The 20,992-nt window shown below is 50.8% G+C and overlaps 1 protein-coding gene across 7 annotated transcripts in view, besides 2 other annotated features; it reads left to right on the forward strand.

The window, feature by feature from the left end:
- Positions 1-8,338, forward strand: part of TRMT44 (tRNA methyltransferase 44 homolog) — a 76,174-nt gene extending 67,836 nt beyond the window's left edge. The window contains exons 11-14 of one of the 7 annotated variants that reach the window (XM_047449682.1): positions 186-498; positions 1,014-1,187; positions 1,650-2,391; positions 3,219-4,302. In XM_047449682.1, coding sequence (XP_047305638.1) covers positions 186-199 — 14 coding nt within the window. In that variant the 3' untranslated portion in view covers positions 200-498; positions 1,014-1,187; positions 1,650-2,391; positions 3,219-4,302. Of the gene's footprint in view, positions 1-185; positions 4,303-6,699; positions 6,972-7,280 lie in introns of those variants that run through there. The other 6 variants (XM_047449685.1, XM_047449680.1, XM_047449683.1 and 3 more) reach the window with 6 other exon arrangements.
- Positions 2,384-2,883: an enhancer, noted in NCBI's record as "H3K4me1 hESC enhancer chr4:8512723-8513222 (GRCh37/hg19 assembly coordinates)". NCBI's record gives its function as "activates a minimal SCP1, AML or CMV promoter by ChIP-STARR-seq in primed H9 embryonic stem cells {active_cell/tissue: H9 hESC(primed)}" and the evidence as "EXISTENCE:reporter gene assay evidence [ECO:0000049][PMID:30033119]".
- Positions 14,336-14,837: an enhancer, noted in NCBI's record as "H3K4me1 hESC enhancer chr4:8524675-8525176 (GRCh37/hg19 assembly coordinates)". NCBI's record gives its function as "activates a minimal SCP1, AML or CMV promoter by ChIP-STARR-seq in naive H9 embryonic stem cells {active_cell/tissue: H9 hESC(naive)}" and the evidence as "EXISTENCE:reporter gene assay evidence [ECO:0000049][PMID:30033119]".

A 20,992-nucleotide genomic window follows, 5' to 3' on the forward strand; every position in this document is an offset into this window, starting at 1 on the left:
CTGGCTGACCGACTGTGGCCATGGGGTTGCGGCGCCTTGGGCGGCAGATCCCCCATGAGTGTGAGGTGCTGGCTTCTGCACCTCCCATGAGCCCACAGACACACAAACACAACCCCGTGTTTGCTGATACATCCCAAGGCTTTGGTCTGTTGGGTTTGGGGTGAGACCCTTCCCTTCCTTTACAGATGCTCACCTGTGAAGAGGGAGAACGTCGCTGTCCGAGCAAATGTCTCTTCTGTGTCCTTGGCTGCCTTCCTCCTCCTCCTCCCGCCGCCTACTTTGGGGCCCCTTCCTCTTCTCAGCAGTGCCACTGACCAGCCCAGCCTCATGCACCATCCCGGCCGTTGCCCTGGAGGGCTGGCAGCTGGCAGGACTCAGAGAGGGCCCAGCCATCACCCCTCTCTTGAGCAGATGACAGAGTAACACTGGGAGTTACTATGGACACTGGAAAAGAGAACACAGATGCGTCGGAGATTTTGTAGTTGCAACTCTTCTCTGGTAACCAAAAAACATCAGGACATTCATTGCAAGTGCAACGCTGAGGCTTTGAAGGAACCAAAGAGATCCTTTGCAGCCCTGAGGACGGAGGGAGGGAGGGAAAAGGGAGTGGGGTGGGAGGGAGGGAGGGAGTCCACTGCAGAAAGTGGCACTGATCCCTCTGAGCCTCTCCGGCCTCATGTGTAAGATGCCAGCTGCCCCGGAGTGGCAGTGGCGAGTGAGTGGCTGTGTAAGGTGCCCAGGCAGGAGCTTGCGGGCAGCCCTGTGTGAAGTGGGCAGCCTTGGGCCGGGTTCCCTAGAAGCAGAGCTGAGATGGGGATTCTTGTTCATGCGATTGGAGGTGCTTCCTAAGAAGTTGCTCCCTGCCCCAACTCCGAGCCAGGGCAGCACTGACCATGGGCAACTTTCCCTTGCAGGGGGCACTCCCAGCTGCCGGGGAGGGGCAGTGGCCCTGAAGGGGCCTGGTCAGGACCAACAGTTTTCTTGGCAGTGGTGTGTTTGTCCCCATTTCGCAGATGAGGAAACTGAGGCTTGGAAAGACCCAGGTCCTTGCCCAGGCCCCACACCACACCCAGGAGGGGCGGCGCTGGAGTCCTGCGCCACGTCGCTGTTCTCACCAGGAGGAGGCCCTTGTTTGCTGCGTCCAGCGACCCCATCTCCATGCTGCAGGCAGGAGGACACAGCCGGGGGTGAGCCATGAGCGAGGCCTCACGGGGAAGCGAGAGCAGCGGTGTTGCCATCTGGATGTCAGACGCGCTCACTTGCTTCTGCCGCACACGGGACTCTGAGCCAGGCCTTAAGGTTTTGGCTCCCTGGGTGTGGCACCCAAGGGGGTGGCCAGGTGGGGTGGAGTGTGAGTTTGAGTGATTTGGCATCCCCGTGGAGATGATAGGGAGAATGAGTACCTGTGTCTGCAGCTGCAGAGCGAGATCCGGGCTGGACGTAGACATGGGGAGCCACACAGTGGAGGTGGCCTGCTTCTGTTTGCAGCTACAACAAATCACCAGGACCTCAGCAGTGGGAATGTCCAGACACGTGATCGGTTCTCACTGGACTTGGTTATCCAGGTCCTGTGGGCTGAAGTCTAGGCGTCGGCAGGGCTGGGTCCTCCTGGAGACTCCAGGGGAGAATCCGTTCCCTGCCTTTTCCAGCTCCTGGAAGCCTCTCGCGTTCCTGGGCTAGGGAACCTTCCTCCATCTCAGAGCCGGCCATGGGGTGTCCCCTGACCTTCCGCAGCCATGTCCCCCTTCGATGGAGCTCTGCTTCTGGCCCTCCCTCCACACTGAAGGCCCCTGTGATCACATGGCCCACCCGCCAATCCAGGTGGCCTCCCTCCAAGGTCAGCCGGTGAGCTGCCTTCATGCCTGCATGGTGTCTCTGACCCTTGGCCACGCAACCTAACATAGTCACAGGTCCTGGAGATTTGCACTGGGATATCTTGGGTGAGGGGAATTATTCTGCTGACCCCCGATGGCAACTGCAGTGGTGGGAGGGGAAGAGAACACCAGGATGTGTTCAGAGAGAGAGGCGTGGACCTCAGGGGGTGTCAGGGGAAGAGGGCCCGGGAGGGAGAAAGCATTTGGTTTAGACGTGTTGGGTGTGAGGTGCCCATGGAATAGCAGGGTGGAGCTGGTGGGGGAAGCTGGGGGGCTGCCCTGGGGCTCTAGCACATGGAGGCCAAGGAGGGAGTCGTGGGGTGGAGGGGGCACAGGGCTCCCCAAGGTCCTGGGTCTGCCTCAGGGCCGCTGCTACTCCACACCCCTCCTCCCATGCCTGAGCACCCATGGCAGTGACCAGCAGTGACCATCATCACCCAATGAGGATGGAGAGAAACTGAGGCTGGCCTGAGATGTCCTGAGGAATGAGCTGGCACCAGAGTCCCACAGGTGAAGGGTGAGCATGGATGGGCCGGGAGCATGCTCCCTGTAATTGTGCATGGCGCAGAAGGTCAGGAACGGCCTGGTGGCCCCGTGGGAGACTGGTTACTCCAATCTGGTCCAGCAGAACCCCAGGCAGCCTCGTGGCAGCGTGGGGGAAGTGTCTATGCTTAGTGATGTGGCAGATGCCCGGAGTGCCGTGAGCTTTAATAACAGTGAGTTACAGAAGTATGTGAGCCCGTTCCTGAAAACACACACAGTCTGAAAAACGTCCAGAGGGACAGGCCTGAAAATGTTAAGAGCACTGCAATCCTGGGGGTTGGTTGTGGAGGTGCTTCCCTTCTCCGTGGTGGTCTGCACTTGCAGTTTCACTGACTGGGAGTCAGAATAATGTCCCCCCTCCCCCACAAAATGCCCACCTCTTAATCTCTAAAACCTGTACTTAGGACCTTACATGGAACGGAGACTTTGCAGAAGTGATTTTGGATCTGAGATGGGGAGGTTATCCTGGCTTGGTGCTGGTCATTACCCCAAAAGACACAATCCCAAAAGCCACTATCCGGAATGTCAAAATCCTGAAAGATCAACATCCCTAAAGTCTAAAATCCCTAACATCTAATTGAATCCCTAAACCATAATGACAGATTTGGAATTCGGCTCAATCAAGGCTTCTAAAAGCACATTTCAAGTGTTAGCAATAATGTTTGTTTTTTTCCATTCAGCCCAATGCATTTGGCAAAAAAAAAAAAAACATCCAGATGAGTGGATTGGCCAGGCAGTATGGTAGTGACAAAAACTTCGATTTAAAACTGCATTATTTGCCTGCACCGGCATTTCTTCCAGCTGATGAAATTCTAGGAGAGTCCATGTCCTAAAGGATAAGAAGCAACTATTCGTTGAGATGAGAGACTTCAAAGATAGTCAATGATCGTGAAAGTCGGCCAGCCTTTCTGGACCATCTCGTGCAATTGCTCTAATCTATCCCTGCAATAGATCCCTTTAATACACTTTGTCATATGTTGAATTTTCTTTTTAGTTTTTAGTTTTCTTTTGTTGTTGTTGTTGTTTTCCCATTTTTTAAAATTATTATTATTGTGGAGACAGAGTCTCACTCTGTCACCCAGGCTGGAGTGCGGGGGTGCGATCTCGGTTCACTGCACCCTCTGCCTCCCAGGTTCAAGCAATTCTCCTGCCTCAGCCTCCTGAGTAGCTGGGGCTACAGGCACCCGCCATTATGTCTGGCTAATTTTTGTATTTTTAGTAGAGACAGGGTTTCACCATGTTGGCCAGGCTCGTCTCAAACTCCTGACCTCAAGTGATCCGCCCACCTCGGCCTCCCAAAGTGTTGGGATTACAGGCGTGAGCCACCACACCCAGGCCCATTGTTTTTAATTATCAACGTTATTTTTGTTATTCTATGTATTTCATCTTTGCATGATTTCCAGTATGGGAGGTATAAATTGTGTAAAGACGTTGAGAGTTCTAATTTGTTGTATGCATTTTTTACAAATGTGACTCTGTGAAAATGATTATCACAACATTGACTTTATGTGTAAGCGTTGTGTGTGTGCGTACATAAAATCGTCGAAACTTCCTCAATAAATGAAGAGATGTCCTTTTTGTACGCCTGAATTTATGAAAGGTAAATTTCTCGAGGTCTTGTTTCTTTGGGCAGCTGCGTGTGCAGTGCTGACCCATGAGTGTCTGATCGATCACGTCACCAGACGTAGGGTGTCCTTCATGGGTTTTCAAATGACAGCTGTTATCTCAGGAATTTCTTTATGAATGTGGTTTGTCTGCTCATCACCGAGTGTCTATGCTTGCAAAAATATGTCTGTTATTACTGCCTATTTTATTGTGTAAAGTAGCCTGTGAGATGTTCCATTGTGTTTTTGTTTCTTAAATAAATCTCCTTTAAAAATGTAAATAAACGTATTTTATTTGAGACAGAGTGTCACTCTCTCGCCCGGGCTGGAGTGCAGTGCCACAATCTCAGCTCACTGCAACCTCCGCCTCCTGGGTTCAACCAATTCTTCTGTGTCAGACTGTAATCTCAGTAGCTGGGATTACAGGTGCCCGCCACCACACCCAGATAATTTTTGCATTTTAGAGACAGGGTTTTACCATGTTGGTCAGGCTGGTCTCGAACTCCTGACTTCAGGATAAAGAAATACCTGAGACTGGGCAATTTACAAAACAAAGAGGTTTATTGGACTTACAGTTCCACATGGCTATGGAGACCTCACAATCATGGCAGAAGGCAAGGAAGAGCAAGTCACATCTTACATGGCTGGCAGCAGGCAAAAAGAGAGCTTGTGTGGAGAAACTCCCATTTTTTAGAACCATCAGATCTCATGAACTCGTTCACTATCACGAGAACAGCACAGGAAAGACTGGCCCCCATAATTCAATCACCTCCCACTGGGATCCTCCCACGACATATGGGAAATGTGGGAGTTACAAATCAAGGTGAGATTTGGATGAGGACACAGCCAAACCATATCAACCAGGAAACATAAAGTCTAATCATAAAGGTGAAAATGGATAAGTCAGACCATAATAGAATGAAAAATGTCAGCTCATCAAAAGCCACCATGGAGAATAAACAGATGTCAAAGAGCAGGAGAAGATTTTAACAGTACATAGACCTGACAAAGAATTGGAACCTAGAATATATCAAGAATCACTACAATTCAATAAGAAAACAGTAGATCAAACATAAAAATGGATAAAGGTTTTTAAAAAGACACATCACAAAAGAGCATATTCAGATCATCAATAAACATGGAAAGGTGTCTCATCTTGATCAGCCATCAGGGAAATGAGGATTGAGACCACAATGCCAGATCACTACACACCCACCAGGGTGACCAAAACCCTCCCGGCAGATACCTGCAAGTGCTGTGTGGAGCAGCCAGAACTCTTGGGTGGGGCTGGTGGGAAAGGATTGGTTCAATGCTTTGAACCACTTGGTTTGAACCCAAACCATCTAGCAGCATCAGCCACGCTGTGCCCAGGCATTCCCACTCCTGGCGAAACCCCCAACTGAAACATACACATATGTGCACCAAAGCACAGGTCCAGCCTACTGGAAGCCACCATGCACCCGTCCATAGGGAGTGGAGGCACTACACGTGTTCCACACGTGCAACAGAAGCTTAGGTGAGCAGGGAAGAGCCAGCTCTGCACAGGGCACCTGGCACATATCACTGCCAACAAGCCAAGCAGACTATGCACCCACAGGACGAGGCCTGGGCTCTGATCTTTTTTTTTTTTTTTTTTTTTGAGACAAAGTCTCGTTCTTTTGCTCAGGCTGGAGTGCAGTGGTGTGATCTCGGCTCACTGCACCCTCTGCCTTCCCATATTCGAGCCCAGTGGTGCGATCTTGGCTCACTGCAACCTCAGCCTCCTGAGTAGCTGGGATCACAGGCGCCCGCCACCATGCCCAGCTCATTTTTGTATTTTTTTTAGTAGAGATGGGGTTTCACCATGTTGGCCAGGCTGGTCTCACACTCCTGACCTCAGGTGATCCGCCCGCCTCAGCCTCCCTATGTGCTGGGATGACAGATGTGAGCCACTGCGTGCACTACCTTTTACTCAACGCTCCAGCCAGGCGAAAGCATTTGTGGGGATGGAGGGTGAAACGGTGGCTGCCCTCATCCTTTGAGGCAGTAGCAGGGGACCTCAGAGTGAGGTCATGTTCTACAGTTTCTGATCTGGGACCCAGTTGGGGGGCAGCGCTACATGGATGTGTCCACTTGATAAGAATTCACTGAGTTGAACGGTTTTGATACTTTCTCTAAAAATGTTGTACTTAACACAGTTACCTGCAAAGGCCCCCAAGCTCAGGCCCACATAGTAAGAGCAGCAGCAGTGTGGAGCACACAGGCATGTTGGGAGGAGACAGGGTGTGGAGCCGCAGAGTGATGCCTGCTCCACGTGCACTGGGCACTTGGCGGGGCACCATTCAATTTATTTATTTGTTATTATTATCTTGAGACAGAGTGTCACTCTGTCACCCAGACTGGTGTGCAGTGGCATGATCTCAGCTCACTGTAACCTCCACCTCCTGGGCTCAAGTGATCGTCCTAACTCAGCCTCCCTAGGAGCTGGGACTACAGACGTGTGCCACCATATCCAGCTAATTTTTGTATTTTTTTGTAGAGACAGGATTTCACCATGCTGCCCAGGCTGGTCTCGAAATCCTGAGCTCAAGCAATCCTCCCGCCTTGGCCTCCCAAAGTGCTGGGATTACAGGTGTGAGCCAATGCACCTGGCTTCACTTATTTATTTACCACCCAATTTGTTCTGGGTCCTGTTCTAGGCTCAGAGGAAATGGTCATGGAGGATTCGGGCTGACCACTGGGAACTCACGGTCCAGCGAAGGGCAGCGGTGAACAGCTGTCCTGGCTTTGCCCCTGCGGCAGGCCCATAGAATGACGAGAGCAGTTGGCATCCACAGCATTTCCTGAGCAGATGCTGCCCTTGCTCCCAAGCTGCTCCCAGCCTAACAGAGACAGAGGAACAGCAAGTGTCACCAGGGGCAGGGCCAGGGCTGTGGGAGCCCAGAGGAGTGCCTTACCCAACCCGAGTCGGGTGAGTCAGGAAAGGCTTTCAGGGGGATATGACCCCTGGGATGGCCTGAGGGCCATGCAGGAGGCGGGGCAGGGAGCAGAGGCTGGGCTAGGGGTTGGGGTGCTCCTGACCAAGGAGCAGGCTGGTCCCTCTGCCCAAATATTGTTCCCCAGGCACTGACACAGTTCACTCCCAGTGCCCTCAGCCTCCGCTCAAACGTTCCCTCCCCAGTGCGGGGTGACATGGGGCTGGTTCAGGGCTGTGCCCACTTGGTGAAAGTCCATCAAGCTGTCCTCTGATGACATCTGTACTTCTTCATGTCTGTTATAGTCCAATAAGAAGTGGGAAGTGCCTGAAAATATTGGAAGAGCTCGCCAGGCTTTCCACGCCTCTCTGTGACACCCTCCTTTGAGCGCCTGCATTCCTGGGAGTGAGATGGTTGTCCGTGGTCTCTCCCCCACGACAAGATGGAAGTTCTGCCCAGCTGTACGCTGGGGGTCTGAAACCGTCCCTGTAAACTTCATAAAATTAACCAGGGAAGAATAGAGGGGGGAAAACAAAAATGAACTCAGTGCGGCGCCCTCTGTGCTCGTCCCTGGGTGGCCACGCTCCAACCCACCACCTTGTGCCCATCTGCTGCTATGGCCCCAGAGTCACGCAGGCCCGGCCACAAGAGCATCGCCCCCTCGACTGCTCTGCAGACGACAGCCTGAGCACTGGGAACGTGTTTTCCCCTGAGATACCCCTTCAGGCTCTGCGTGCCAAGGACACTCCTGACACCAGCTGTCCTGAGGACCCCAGAGGAGCTGACTCGCCCAAGAACATGGTCCCAGATACTGATGACTCATCTCCCTTCCCTGACCTGACCAATCAACAAGCCTAATTCTCCAGCCCCTCACCCTTCACCATTCCCTGAAAAACCTCACCCCAGCCCAGGCTAGGTGCAGTGGCTCATGCCTGTCATCTCAGCACTTTCGGAGGTCAAGGTGGGAGGATGGCTTGAGGCCAGGAGTTCAAGACCAGCCTGGGCAACATAGTGAGACTCCATTTCTACCAAGAATAAAAAAAATTATCTGGGCTTGGTGGTGTGTGCCTGTGGACCCAGCTACTCAGGAGGCTGAGGCAGAAGAGTCTGAGTCCAAGAGATTGAAGCTGCAGTCAGCCAAGATCGCACCATTGCACTCCAGCCTGGGCAACAGAGCAAGACCCTGTCTCAAAAAACAAAAAACAAAACAACAAAAACAACACCATCACCAGCCCAGAACTCATCAGAGAGGGTTGTTAGAGTTTCACCCATCTTCTCATGAGCAATGTGGCCTTGGCAATGATGTACGGTTGTAACAATGTAACCTTGTAACAGTGTAACCTGAACAAGCTTCTTGCAGATATCTCTTCTGGCTGATTTGAAACCCCAGTGAACGATTGGTGTGCAGATGGAGCCTCATGAGGGCCATGGTCTATTGCCCAGTTCATGAGTGTCTGGGGAGAGAATGGACTTGAAAGAGGAGCTAAGGACTCAGTGCTGATTTTAACAGCCAGAGGCCTTCGCTGGACTTGGGGTTCCAGCTGCTGGGGCTGCAGCAGGCACTGGCATAGTTGTCAACAGCCCCATCAGCCAAATGAATTATTTACAAGTTTTCAAGAAAGGAGACTGCAGGCAGCTGTTGGACCAGACAGAGGATAGAAGCCTCCAGGAGAAATAGGCAGTTTTCAAGGTTTCCTGGTATAATGATTCATCCAGAAATTTATTTGAAAAATTCATTTGTATCTAGTGGTGATCATGGCACGTCAAGACAGGGCCCTCCTGAGTTTCCTGCCCCTCTTTCAGTGCCAGGGAGCAGAAGAGGGAGGGGGGCAGAGGAAGCAACAGTCATCTGGTAGGGAGCTTGATGTCTCCAGGGTTCAGGAGGGGGCAGCAGGTGTGTCCCGACTCTGTTCCTCAACCTGCCGTGTGAGGCTGGGGGAGTCGTGTCCTCTCTGGGCCCCTGAATCCTCATCTGAGACCTGCACACAGGCCACGTGGCTCTAGGGTCCTTCCAGCTTAGCTGTCCTGAGTCCCCTGACCTTGATGACTGGCTGGATGTTATGCCCTTTCAAGAAGTCTGTCTTTGGCCCCATGAGGCTGTGGCTCAGGGGAGGGTAGGGCATGCAGGAGAGAAGGCACCAGCTCTGGGGTCAGACACACCTGGCTTGGTACCCGGCCTTGCCCATGCACCTGAGTAACCTGCGCTAGGCCCTTCCTGTCCTTGCCTACACAGGGTGGGCACTCGGATGGCACCTCCTGGCTTTCAGGGAGGGAGTGTGAAGTGGGGCCAGTGGGGTAGCTTTGGGTGGGGCCCTGTGGGGTCTGCATACCCCTGGAGCTGAGTGACAGCATGAGAGGGTCACCAGCACAGCCGAGGGCCTCTCCTGCTCCACCTCCAGCCCCTCACTCAGAGAGCCCCCAAAGGCACGACTGCCGGAACCCAGTCCCTCGGCAAAGGCACGCCTGCCAGAGCCCAGTCCCTCTGGCCGGGGCAGGGCCTGACACTTTGGCATGACCAGCTTCTTCCTGCACAAGCTCTGGAAGGTCCCATTTCTCCCTGGGGTGACCCGGACTTGAGGCCACGTCAGCAGTAGGCCATGGCTGGGAGGTGCCCATTTCTCTCGAGTTTGCACGAGGCACAAACTTCTGGCGTGGACAAGAGAGGGCGGGGGCCTGGGCAACTGCTTTTGCTCTTTTGGCTGAGAAGGAAAAAGTGACTTCCAAGAACTGAGGCGCATTCTAGAATCTCTCTATTCTGAAAGTGACCTTTCTCTGAGCCGGCACTCCTAGAAGGAACTGATTCTGGCCATGCAGGCTGCAGCTGGGCATTAGGGCAGAAGGGAGGGCGGGAAGCTGCTGGGCTTCTCTTTGCCCCAGAGAGAAGCAGCAGTGAAGATGCTGGGATTTGGGGAGTGTGGGCTCTGGCCTGGACAATTGGGTACCAGGTCTCGCATGCCCCCAGCTAATATCAGGCAATTTACCTTAGCCATCCTTATGCAAAATGAGAAAGGAGCCCTCACCATGCGGGGTGGCTGGGAAATGTCAGAGGGTGTCCCCACATCCTGGGTCAAGAATAGCCTTCGGGCCGGGCGCGGTGGCTCACGCCTGTAATCCCAGCACTTTGGGAGGCCGAGGTGGGCGGATCACGAGGTCAGGAAATCAAGACCATCCTGGCTAACACGGTGAAACCCCATCTCTACTAAAAATACAAAAAATTAGCCGGGTGTGGTGGCAGGTGCCTGTAGTCCCAGCTACTCAGGAGGCTGAGGCAGGAGAATGGCGTGAACCCGGGAGGCGGAGCTTGCAGTGAGTTGAGATCGCACCACTGCACTCCAGCCTGGGTGACAGAGTGAGACTCTGTCTCAAAAAAAAAAAAAAAAAGAATGGCCTTCGATACAGGCCCTTCTCTGCTCACAGCCCCTCTGGGAGCTGCCTCTCCTCTTCTAGCTGCACCAGCCCAGCAGAGGTGTGATGGGGACTCCTGGGCTGCCCCTGTCAAATGGACAGGGGTGCGGGGAGACACAGAGGCAGCTGCAGCTTCATCTAATGTTTTCTCCCATTCTCTCTGACTCTGATCATCTGAAGGTGGGGTGGGATGTGCCATGCATGGGGTGTCATTTGCCTCGAAATCTTCTTTTCTGTCCCAGTATTATCTCAGTTGAGGAGAAGGGCAAATTGTCTGCCATCCCAGGGGCTGTCAACTCCCACCTAGTCAGTGGTGCCGTTGGGGCAGCCCCAACGCTCATGCTTCCAAGGGCCCAGAGGTCTAAGCCCAGGAGGCACTCAGTGAGTGCCTGTGGAATTAGAGTCGTTCATTCCCAGGTACCAGATGCCTCTATGCAAAATCGCACAGCCCTGCTTCTTCCAGAGTGTGCACGCGTGTCTGTGTTTGTGCATGCACTTGCGTGTGTGTGTGAGATCCCTCACTCTGGGAGATGGGAACATGAGTCAGCAGTGTCAGGTACTGAAACCCTGCTCTAGGAAGACAAAAGGAACCTTCTTGGGGTACCCCATCTGCAGCTCTGCTCTGGTCTGGGTCAGGGTGGAGCAAACCTGTGGGGTGAATGAGAGATCACTCGTGATAAGTAAGACAACACCCAGCCATGTTCTAGGGGGCTCAGTGGCACCTGGCACACTTACCCTGAGACGACTCATTCAGCTGCTTACTGGGTGGTCTTGGGTCCACCTGGTCAATCTCCCTAAATGTCATCTTCAAAGAACCAGAAGGAATGCAATGGAAGGAGCTCTGGCTACGAAGAGTGGCTGGTGTGGTTGCCCTGCTTGGCCACTAAATTTGTGAGTGACCTTGGGCCAAACACCTTTTCTCTGGGCCTCAGTTTCCCCATCTGTAGAACAGAGGAATGAAGACCATCCTCTGGGTCTTAGTTATGGAAGGTACCCTGGCTTCATTGGGTGTGGGGTTGTGCTAGGGGCAAAAGGAGGTATTAGGGATGGTGTGGCATGGGAGAGGCCCCAGGCTAAAGGCAGAAGCAGGCAGTTTAATCTGTAGGGTGGGACCCATGGGGTGCAAGTGGAATTTACCTGAGCGGACTCCAGGAAAGTTCCCTAAGGGAATAGATAAGTGGTGCTCACCCCTCCTGACCCCTGCCCTTCCCTTCTTCTTGGCTGGGATGCAGATGTAGTTATTGGAGCTCTGGCAGCCAGATTGTGACTTTGAAGATGGGCACCACATACCAAATATGTTGAAGCAGAAAGAGAGAAGCAGACAGTGTGGGGTTGTCACACTGGCCCCAGACTGCCCATCTCCTGATATCTTTTATTTTACCTGAGAGAGTAAACCTTTCATCTGCTTAAGCCACTGAATTCTGCCCTCTGTTGTATACAGTTGTACCTAGCCCTACCTTGCACTACCATCCCATGGGGCAAAACTCCATGCAGGACCTGATGGTACAAATAGAGGTGAAGACAGTGAGAATATGTTTGGGAGATTCCAGGAAGAAAGTGAAATAACTATTGGAAAAGCTAATGGAGCATGTCTGCTTGAAATATTATTACTGTTTTGTAGGAGATCCTGTTTGGGCAAAGCCCAACAATATCAAAATCAAGAATGAGAGGGATGACATCACCACAGGCCCTATAGATATTGAAAAGAAAATAGAAATAATCTGAACAACTCCATGCCAATAAATTCAACGACTTAGCTGTGATGGACAAATTTCTTGAAAGATGAAATACCAAAGATCACTCAAGAAGAAAAATATAACCTGAATAGCTCTACATCTATTAGAGAAATTGAATTTGTTGTTAAAAACTTCCCCATAAAAAAATTGAAGTCCAGGTGGTTTCACTATCAAGTTCTACCAAAAATCTAAGAAGGAAATAACCCCAATTATACCCAAGCTTTCTAGAAAATGGAAAAGGAAGGGATATTTCTCAACTCATTCTGTAAGGCCAGCATTACTCTGATGCATAAACCTGACAAAGACATTACAAGAAAATAAGCGAATACCTCTTAAGAACATAGTGCAAAAATTTTAATAAAATTTTATCAAATTGAATCTAATAATATAAAAATAGGATGATAAATTATGACCAAGGCATTTTTAGCCCAGGAATGCAAGGTTGGTTTAACATTTTAAAAGCAATCAATATAATTTACTACATTCACAAACTAATAATGAAAAACCACCTGATCATCTCCGTAGATGCAAGAAAGCTTTGACAAAATCTGACATCTATGCTTGATAAAAACTCTCAGCTTACTAGGAATAGAAGAGAACTTCTATGCTGAGCCACCATGCGCAGCATCAGCAGGCTTTTTTTGTAAAAATCAATAAATCAGTTCTAACAATCATATGAGGCCAGGCACGGTGGCTCCCACCTGTAATCCCAGCACTTTGGGAAGCTAAGGCGGGCAGATCACTTGAGGTAAGGGGTTTGAGACCAGCCTGGCCAACATGGTAAAACCCCATTTCTACTAAAAATACAAAAATTATGCAGGCATGGTGATGTGCACCTGTGATCCCAGCTACTCAGGAGGCTGAGACAGGATAATCGCTTGAATCCAGGAGGCAGAGGTTGCAGTGAGCCAAGATCACCCCACTGCACTCCAGCCTGGGTGACAGAGCAAGACTCCATCTCAGAAAAAAATAAAATAAAATAAAAAATAAACTAAACTAAACTAAAATAAAATTCATATGAAAGTGCAACGGACCTAAAGTGTCTAAAACATGTTGAAAAATAACAAAGTTGCAGGATTAACATGACTTGAAGAAGACAGGTGTTATAACACCTTTTTCTCATGACATCCTCTCAACAGCTCTAAAGGGTAGCTGGTTTTTGACAGAGTAGGAAACACATTTGGGAAAGTGACTGATTTACTCAACATCACACAGGAGTGAGTGCCAGGGGCTGAGGCTCGGGAGGGCAGGGCCGTGCTCGCCCTGCACACTTCTGCATCCTCAGCTTCTCGCTTGGTGCTGGGCACATAGCAAGGGCTTGAAAATACAAGTTGTAATAATGGTGATAGCTATTGGTCCTTGTGCACTTTCTCTTCCCAGCACTGTTCTAAGCGCTCTATTGATATCCTGACACTGTTTGGATGGAATGTGGGTGAAGGTGGTCATAGAATGCATCTTCCTCTGCCTGGTTTCCTTACCTTTCCTAAACCTTCCAGGGCACTGGACGGCCCTTGCCCTGCTCCTTGCCCTGCCTTTCGGCGGGGAGGGAGTTGTCTGCGGGGAGGACACTGTCCATGAGTATCTGCTGCTTCTCCATTCTTTGCCCCAGCTCTGGGCGTGGTCAGCTCCTTCCAGCCGCCAGGCCTGGGGAAGCCCACTTGGGGAGGTTGCGTGGCCTGTGCTGCTTGCGGCTGGGCGGTGACCTAACCCTGGTGGCATTAGGAAGTCATTGCTACACATCTGCAAATGTTCTGAACCCAGCCTTTTTTTTTCTTATTTGATAAAGGTGATATTTTATATTCATTCCTGTATGCCTGATGTCTTCATCCCTAGGTTCCAATCATAGGCAGGGTAAAAGAGAGAGTATGGTTAACTGAGATTTCACCCATGAAGGAAATCCACGTCGCATTCCTGTGGGGTGGGTGCTGAGGTTATGCTCATTTTGCAGATGGGGACATTGAAGCACAGAGAGATGAATGAATGAATGAATGAATGAATGAATGGACAGTTTGGCCCCAAAGCTCAGGGTCTTCGAAATGAGAGACTGCCTTTGACAGGAAGAGCCAGGTTTGGCCGGAGGGAGCAGGGCAGGAGCTGGGCCTGGCTTGGTCGTGAATGTTCTCGGTGGTGAGGACAGACCCTTGGACAGGAGAGCCAGAGGCCCTGACACTGTGACTGACTTGCTCTGTCGGCCTCGCCAGCTCCTTTCTCACATAATGTCGTGGCCCAGGACTTGGGTCGCTGTCCCCGAGTGGAGGGCAGGGTGGGGTCTCCATCCTCTCCCACCTCCTGCTTTTATCACAGGGCTGGACGCCGAGAGGGCCCGGGGAAACCTTGCTGAGAAAACTGATGCCTTTTAAACATTTGAAGTTGCCCGTTTTGACTTTTAGTTGGAGAGAGGACATCGAAGGCTGAGATCTCAATGCTGAGCCTGCTCAGCTATGTCCCTGGTGGGGTGACAGGCAGGCGGGGATTAGGGGGAGGCCAGGGTGGTGCCGAGGGGAGGACTCCTGTTCCCAGCAACGGCGCTGAGCTGCTTCCAACTCTGTGCCCAGCTCAGGGCTGCTGAGGGTGGCTGGAGAGTGTTTAGCCAGAATGCAACCAAGGCCTTCCCGGGCCATCTGGAGAAGTCCTCATAGAACTTGCCAGGGCTTTGTACCTTGAGCTGGGAGGGTGCCAGGTCTGATTTTCCACAGTGAAAGGAACGCCTGGAAGGGACGAGGTGGCCACGTAGACTGGAACCCCCTTTCTCTGCCAAGCCCGAGGCTGCTCTGTCTTCTCGATGTTCCTCTCCCCATCGATGGCCATAATGGCACCCTCCCTTCTTCCCGCCTTCGTCCAGGGCTGTGTACACCCAGTTCAGCAAACAAAATGCCCCACAGGCAGGCCTGGGGGCAGCCCCAGCTCCTATGCCCAGGCAGTGCTCAGTCTTGTGGGGAAGCAGCCAAGGAAAGAGGTGGCTCTCACATCTGCAAGCAGCACTGGGGCCATAATAACAATAATTTCTAAAGACCTCCTGATAGGCCAGAAAGCTTATAAAGATGATTTTACTTAATATTTGCCTCAAACTTCATGACACACATTAAAATCTTTGTTTTGTCTTTGTAGACAAGGAAACTGAGCTTGGAGGAGTCAAGGAATGTGCCCAAAGTCACACAGCTATAAGAGAAACAGCTCCAGCCTCTGACGGCTGATCCCAGGGGGTTGGATGGCTTGTCCACTTATCTTCTGCTGTTGACAGATGGGAACAGAGAGCTAGTGGGAGCCCAGAGGAGGCACCAAACTTGGGCATTCCTGGAGGCCTGAGCACACCACTGGGTACTGAGGAATGAACAGGAGTTGGCCAGCGGAGGAGGTGAGGGAGAGCACACCAGGTTCCTCGCCAGACAGTGGCTGTGGCTTTTCCATGTCATTTGGTGTAGAAAGGGCAGTTACTTTGAGAAATAGGGCTGGAGTCATAGCCTGTCTGTACGGACAATGAAAACGTTTCAGCTCTATTTTACGCCACGCATAAAAACAAACCTGAGGTGGATCAGGGATCTAAACGTGAAAAGCAAAACTCAAAAATGTTAAGAAGGGTTGGGCGCGGTGGCTCACGCCTGTAATCCTAACACTTTGGAGGGCCAAGACAGGCAGGTCACTTGAGCCCAGGAGTTCAAGACCAGCCTGGCCAACATGGTGAAACCCTATCTCTACCAAAAATACAAAATCAGCCAGGTGTGGTGGTGCACACCTGTAGTCCTGGCTACTCGGGAGGCTGAGATAGGAGAATTGCTTGAACCCAGAAGGCAGAGGCTGCAGTGAGCCGAGATCACGCCACTGCACTCCAGCCTGTGCAGCGGGTAACAGAGTGAGACTCCATCTCAAAAAAAAAAAAAAAAAAAAAAAAAAGAGAGAATGATTTCTCAACTGGGACATGAAGAGTTCAAGCCATAAAGGATTTTATATACTCTGCGTGCAGAATCGTGCCACAAGGAAGGTGCAAAGACAAACCACAGATGGGAGAATGCTTCCCACACAGGAACCGGAGGACTGGCATCCAAACCCACACCACACTTCCAGAGATCAGCGAGGAAAAGACAGCTCCATCCCTGCACTTGTCCCTCCGTGCACTCATTCCTGGCTCACACTCTCAGGCGCTGATTCCTCCTGCCGTTCCTTTACCAGGACACCCTGTCCTGGGGGGCTGGGTATGTGGGGTTGAATGGGATGTGGTGACCTTGCTGGAGTGGGCCCTTTGGCCACAGAGCTAAGGGGCCCCTACAGGGTGACACAGCACAGTTGACAGATTGGGGTCTGTCTGCAAAATGTTTGTTCCAGGCCCACAACAAGTACAGAAATCAGAGTATTTGGAGACTTTCTTGTGGTCTGGCCTTGCGGTATCACCCGGGCACATCCCTGGGAGATGGCTCACCTGGCTGGAGCGTGTGCACACACCTGTTCATGCAGTGAGTCTCGTGTGCTAGTCACACTCAGAAGGACTGCAGATGGCCTAGGGTAGGTTAGTTCTTCCCACAGATGGCTGGACATGTGCTGGCCCAAGGAACCCCGCTGGGAGAAGGGGTGGTGGTCAGGGGGCCTTCCTGGAAGAGGTGTTTCCAGGGTGACATGAGCTTCAGATTCCACCTCCTGGAGCCCCATCACCCTGGTCTCCCTGGCATGGGGGTTGAAAGCTCACAGCTTCTCATGGAGACCCCTCAGGGAGACCCACTCAAAAGACCTCCCAGTGAACCTCAGGAGTTTCTGGGCCTCAGGGGAGGCCAAGGGCGTAGAGAAGCAGGATTGGAGGAAGATGCATTTCAAAGGAGGCCCAAGAATTTGCAGCTTGGGAAATATTCCTGGAAAAGTTCAATGGGGCAACTTGTGGAATTCCAAATATTCCAAGTTTACAAGAAATGAAAATTTATGTTCCTGGGCCATGAGGGCCGAGGAGGCCTCTGGAGATCAGCTTGCCTAGGCTCTCGTTTTAGGGGCAAAACTGCCGGCTCCAGAGGGGCAGCTCTGCGGTGAGGCGGTGAGCCTGGGCACTTCTGGGGAGCATGTGGGCCGGTGTCGGGGGATGAAGGGGGCTGCGGCAGAACCAGGCACCCAGTGGTGTGGATCCGGGAGCCGAGCCTCAAGACGGGAAGCATTTGGGACAGGTTCTGTGGGCCTCGCTCCCCATCCCCGCTGCTTGGGCAGAATTGCATCATCTGTGTGTGGCCATCCTGCTGGGCTGCCATCTCCTGGCTGGCTGGGGGTGGCCTTTCTTCTTTACACCCCAGGCCAGCATAGTGGGTGGCTCGCAGGAGGCTGCAAGAATAAATAAATACCACATGCCCTCCACTCCTGGACACCACCCACTGCAAGACGTGGTGGCATCATCTCCACATCACTAAGAGGAAAAACTGCTGCCAAATAAAGCATGTGTGGCGCTTTTCCTTCTGCCACCAGCTGACAATCTGAGGACATTGTAAATGGCAATGAAACATCACTCATGCGTTGCCAAAAGTGCATGGGACTTGCCGGCCGATGACAGGCTCAAGTGTGAGGGTGCTGGGTGCAGCCCATCTCAGAGACGGGAAGTGGGAGAGTCAGTCGATGAGCTGGGATCTTTACGTCTCTTTATTTCTGTATCTTCATGTCTTATTTCTACTTTCATAGCTAAGGAAACCGAGGCACGGGGAGAGCCTGTGGCTGCTCTAGGTCATCCAGTTTGAGGGGGAAATGCTTGGGTATGAGCTCCCTCCCAGGACCCAGCGTGGTGCCCACACATCATGGATCCAGGGTGGTATTTGGAGAGACTGGGACTCCCTTGGGAACCCAGCTCCCTGGCGGTGCCCTCGAGAAAGGGACCTGTGCTCCCTCCAGCCTCCTTATTCAGCGCAGGCAAGGCCCTCCCGCAGCCCAGGCCTCAGGGGTAAAGCGAGGTTGTCCAGGTAGATGAGGTGTGTGCAGGAAAAGCTGAATGTGGGAGGCAGAGAACCTGCCCTGCCATGGACAGCCACACGTGGTTGCGTGTTGGGCACTCTCCTCTTCGTGCCTCCAGGGGCCCCTCTGCCCTCACTGGGGAGTGGACTTCTGCTCACCTATTCACCCAGTGGATGTGAAGGATGCACTGGGAAATGGTGGAACTGGGCTCTGTGAGCGGCAAAGTCCTCCGCGTATGGAGTGTGTTTTGTGAAAACAAAATCCTAGCATCCTAGCCGTGATGATCTTCCACCTTCTCTCAATCCAGGGTCCCCAGGATGTCTTTTCCTGAGCTGAGGTTGAAAAATAATTTTTTTAAAATTTGTATATTTTACTTTTTAGATTCTCATGCTGTCAACGTATCTTTTTCGGTGCACAGAGTTATGAATTTTAACAGGTGTATGGATTTGTGTGACCCCCCCCCCCACTGCAGTGAGGACGCAGAACCGCTTAGTCGCCCCAGAGAAACTCCCCATGCCACCCCTTGTCATCCAGCAACGGGTGACCTGCTCTCTGTCACTTTAGCTTTGCCTTATTGAGAATGCCACATGGCTGGGCAGGGAGGCTCACACCTGTAGTCCCAGTGCTTTGGGAGGCCGAAGCAGGTGGATCCCTTAAGCCCAGGAGTTTGAGATCAGCCTGGGCAACATAGTGAGACCCTGTCTCAGTGAAAACAAAAAAGAACAAGAGAATGCGGTGTACATGGAAACCCTCTGACAGAGACTTTAGAGCCGCTGTTACAGGAGTGCTCCAGGTAGCAGGGCTGTGAGCTTGGCATTGCTGCCCATGCCAAGGGCCCTTCCTTTTCCGTGCTGAGCAGCATCTGTGTGGGCTGTAGGTGTTGCCTACTTTGTTCATCTATTTACCTACCTGTTTGGTTTGTTTCCAGTTTATGTCTTTTGCCACATATGGGACATTTTCAGCCATTATTTCTTTCAATATCTTTTTTTCTGCATCAACCACTTCCTCTTCAGCTTCTGAGACTCTGATGAGCACAAACTTTGGATGTTTTATTGTGATCCCATACGTCTTTGTTTATTTTTTAATTGTATTTTTAATTGAGATGTAGTTCTCCTGACATCAAAGTCACTCTTTTATCCATTTTAAAGTGTCCGCGGGTTTTGGTAAATTCTGTGTTGTGCAACCATCATCACTCCCCAGTTCCCGGGCAGCTCCACCACCCCAAAGGGAAAGCCTGTGCCAATCATCGGTCCTCCCCAGGCCTTCCTCCCCCATCCCACCCCCAGCAACCACTCAACTATTTCCGTCTCTGTGGATTTGCTTTTTCTGGACATTTCATATAAATGGAATAATAGATGTGGCCTTTTGTGTCTGGTTTCTGTCACTTAACATGCTTTTACACGTGTTCATCCATGCTGTGAAATGTATCAGTACTTCTTTCTTTTTATGGTTGAATAATGTTCCATTGTATGAATATGAACATGCTATAATTTTTATTTTTATTTTATTTTATTGAGACAGGGTCTTGCTTTGTCACCTAGGCTGGAGTGCAGTGGCACAATCATAGCTCACGCAGCCTCCACTTCCTGGGATCCCAGGATCTTCCTGCCTCAGCCTCTCGAGTAGCTGGGACTACAGGCACATACCACCACACCCAGCTAAGTTTTGTATTTTCAGTAGAGATGGAGTTTTGCCATATTGGTCAGGCTGGTCTTGAACACCTGGCCTCAAGTGATCTGCCCACCTCAGCCTCCCAAAGCGCTGGGACTAGAGGCATGCACCACCATGCCTGGCTAATTTTTGTATTTTTGTAGAGACAGGGTCTTACTATGTTGCCCAGGCTGGTCTCAAACTCCTGATCTCAAGCAATCTTCTCACGTTAGCCTCCCAAAGTGCTGGGATTACAGGCGTGGGCCACTGCGCCCAGCCACATACAACAATTTTTTATCTGTTCATTAGTTGGTGGACATTTGTTTCCATTTTTTAGCTATTTTGACTATCAACATTTGTACACAAGTTTTTGTGTAAACATGTTTTCAATTCTCTTGAACACCTAGGAGTAGAATTGCTAGGACATCACACGACTCTATGTTTAAGTTTTTGAGGAACTACCAGTCTGTTTTCCATACTAGGTGCATAATTTTAAATTCCCACCAGCAGTGTATGAGAGTTCCAACCTCTCTATATCCTTGGCAACACTTGTTTTCTGGTTTTAGTTACAGCTGTCTTAATAGATGTGAAGTGGTATTTCACTGTGGTCTTGATTTGTGTTTCCCTAATGACTCATGACCATGAACATCTTTTCATGTGCTGTCTTAGTCTGTTCCTATGGCTACAACAGAATACCTAAGACTGGGTAATTTACAAACAATAGAAATGTATTTATCACAGTTCTAGGGAATGAGGAATATAAGATCAGGGTACTGGGAGAGTTGGTGTCTGGTGAGGGCCCACTGTCTGCATCAAAGATGGTACCTTCTTGCTGTGTCCTCACATGGCAGAAGAGGTGGATGGAACAAATCTGCCACTCAAACCCTTTTTATAAGGAAATTAATCCAATTCATGAGAACAGAGGACCCCCCAAAGAGCCCATCTCTTAAGACCACAATCTTGGAGGTTAAATTTCCACATATGAATTTGGCAGGGACATCAACATTCAGGCCATAGGGCGTGGTTACTGGCCATTTGCAGATCTTCTTTAGGGAAATGTCTACTCAGATCCTTTCCTCATGTTTTAATTGGGTTATTTGTCCTTTTTTTGTTTACTTGTGAAAGCTCTTTATATATTCTGGACACTAGACCCTTATCAGATATATGATTTGTAAACATTTTATCCCATTCTGTGTGTTCTTGTTTCACTTTCTTGAGAATGTCCTTTGCAGCAAAAGTTTTACATTTTGATAAAGTTCAATTTAAATTTTTCTTTTGTTGCTTTTGGTTTAATATCCGAGAAACTTGCCTGATCT

Source organism: Homo sapiens, chromosome 4 (assembly GCF_000001405.40).
Source record: "Homo sapiens chromosome 4, GRCh38.p14 Primary Assembly".
Classification (NCBI taxonomy): Eukaryota; Metazoa; Chordata; class Mammalia; order Primates; family Hominidae; genus Homo; species Homo sapiens.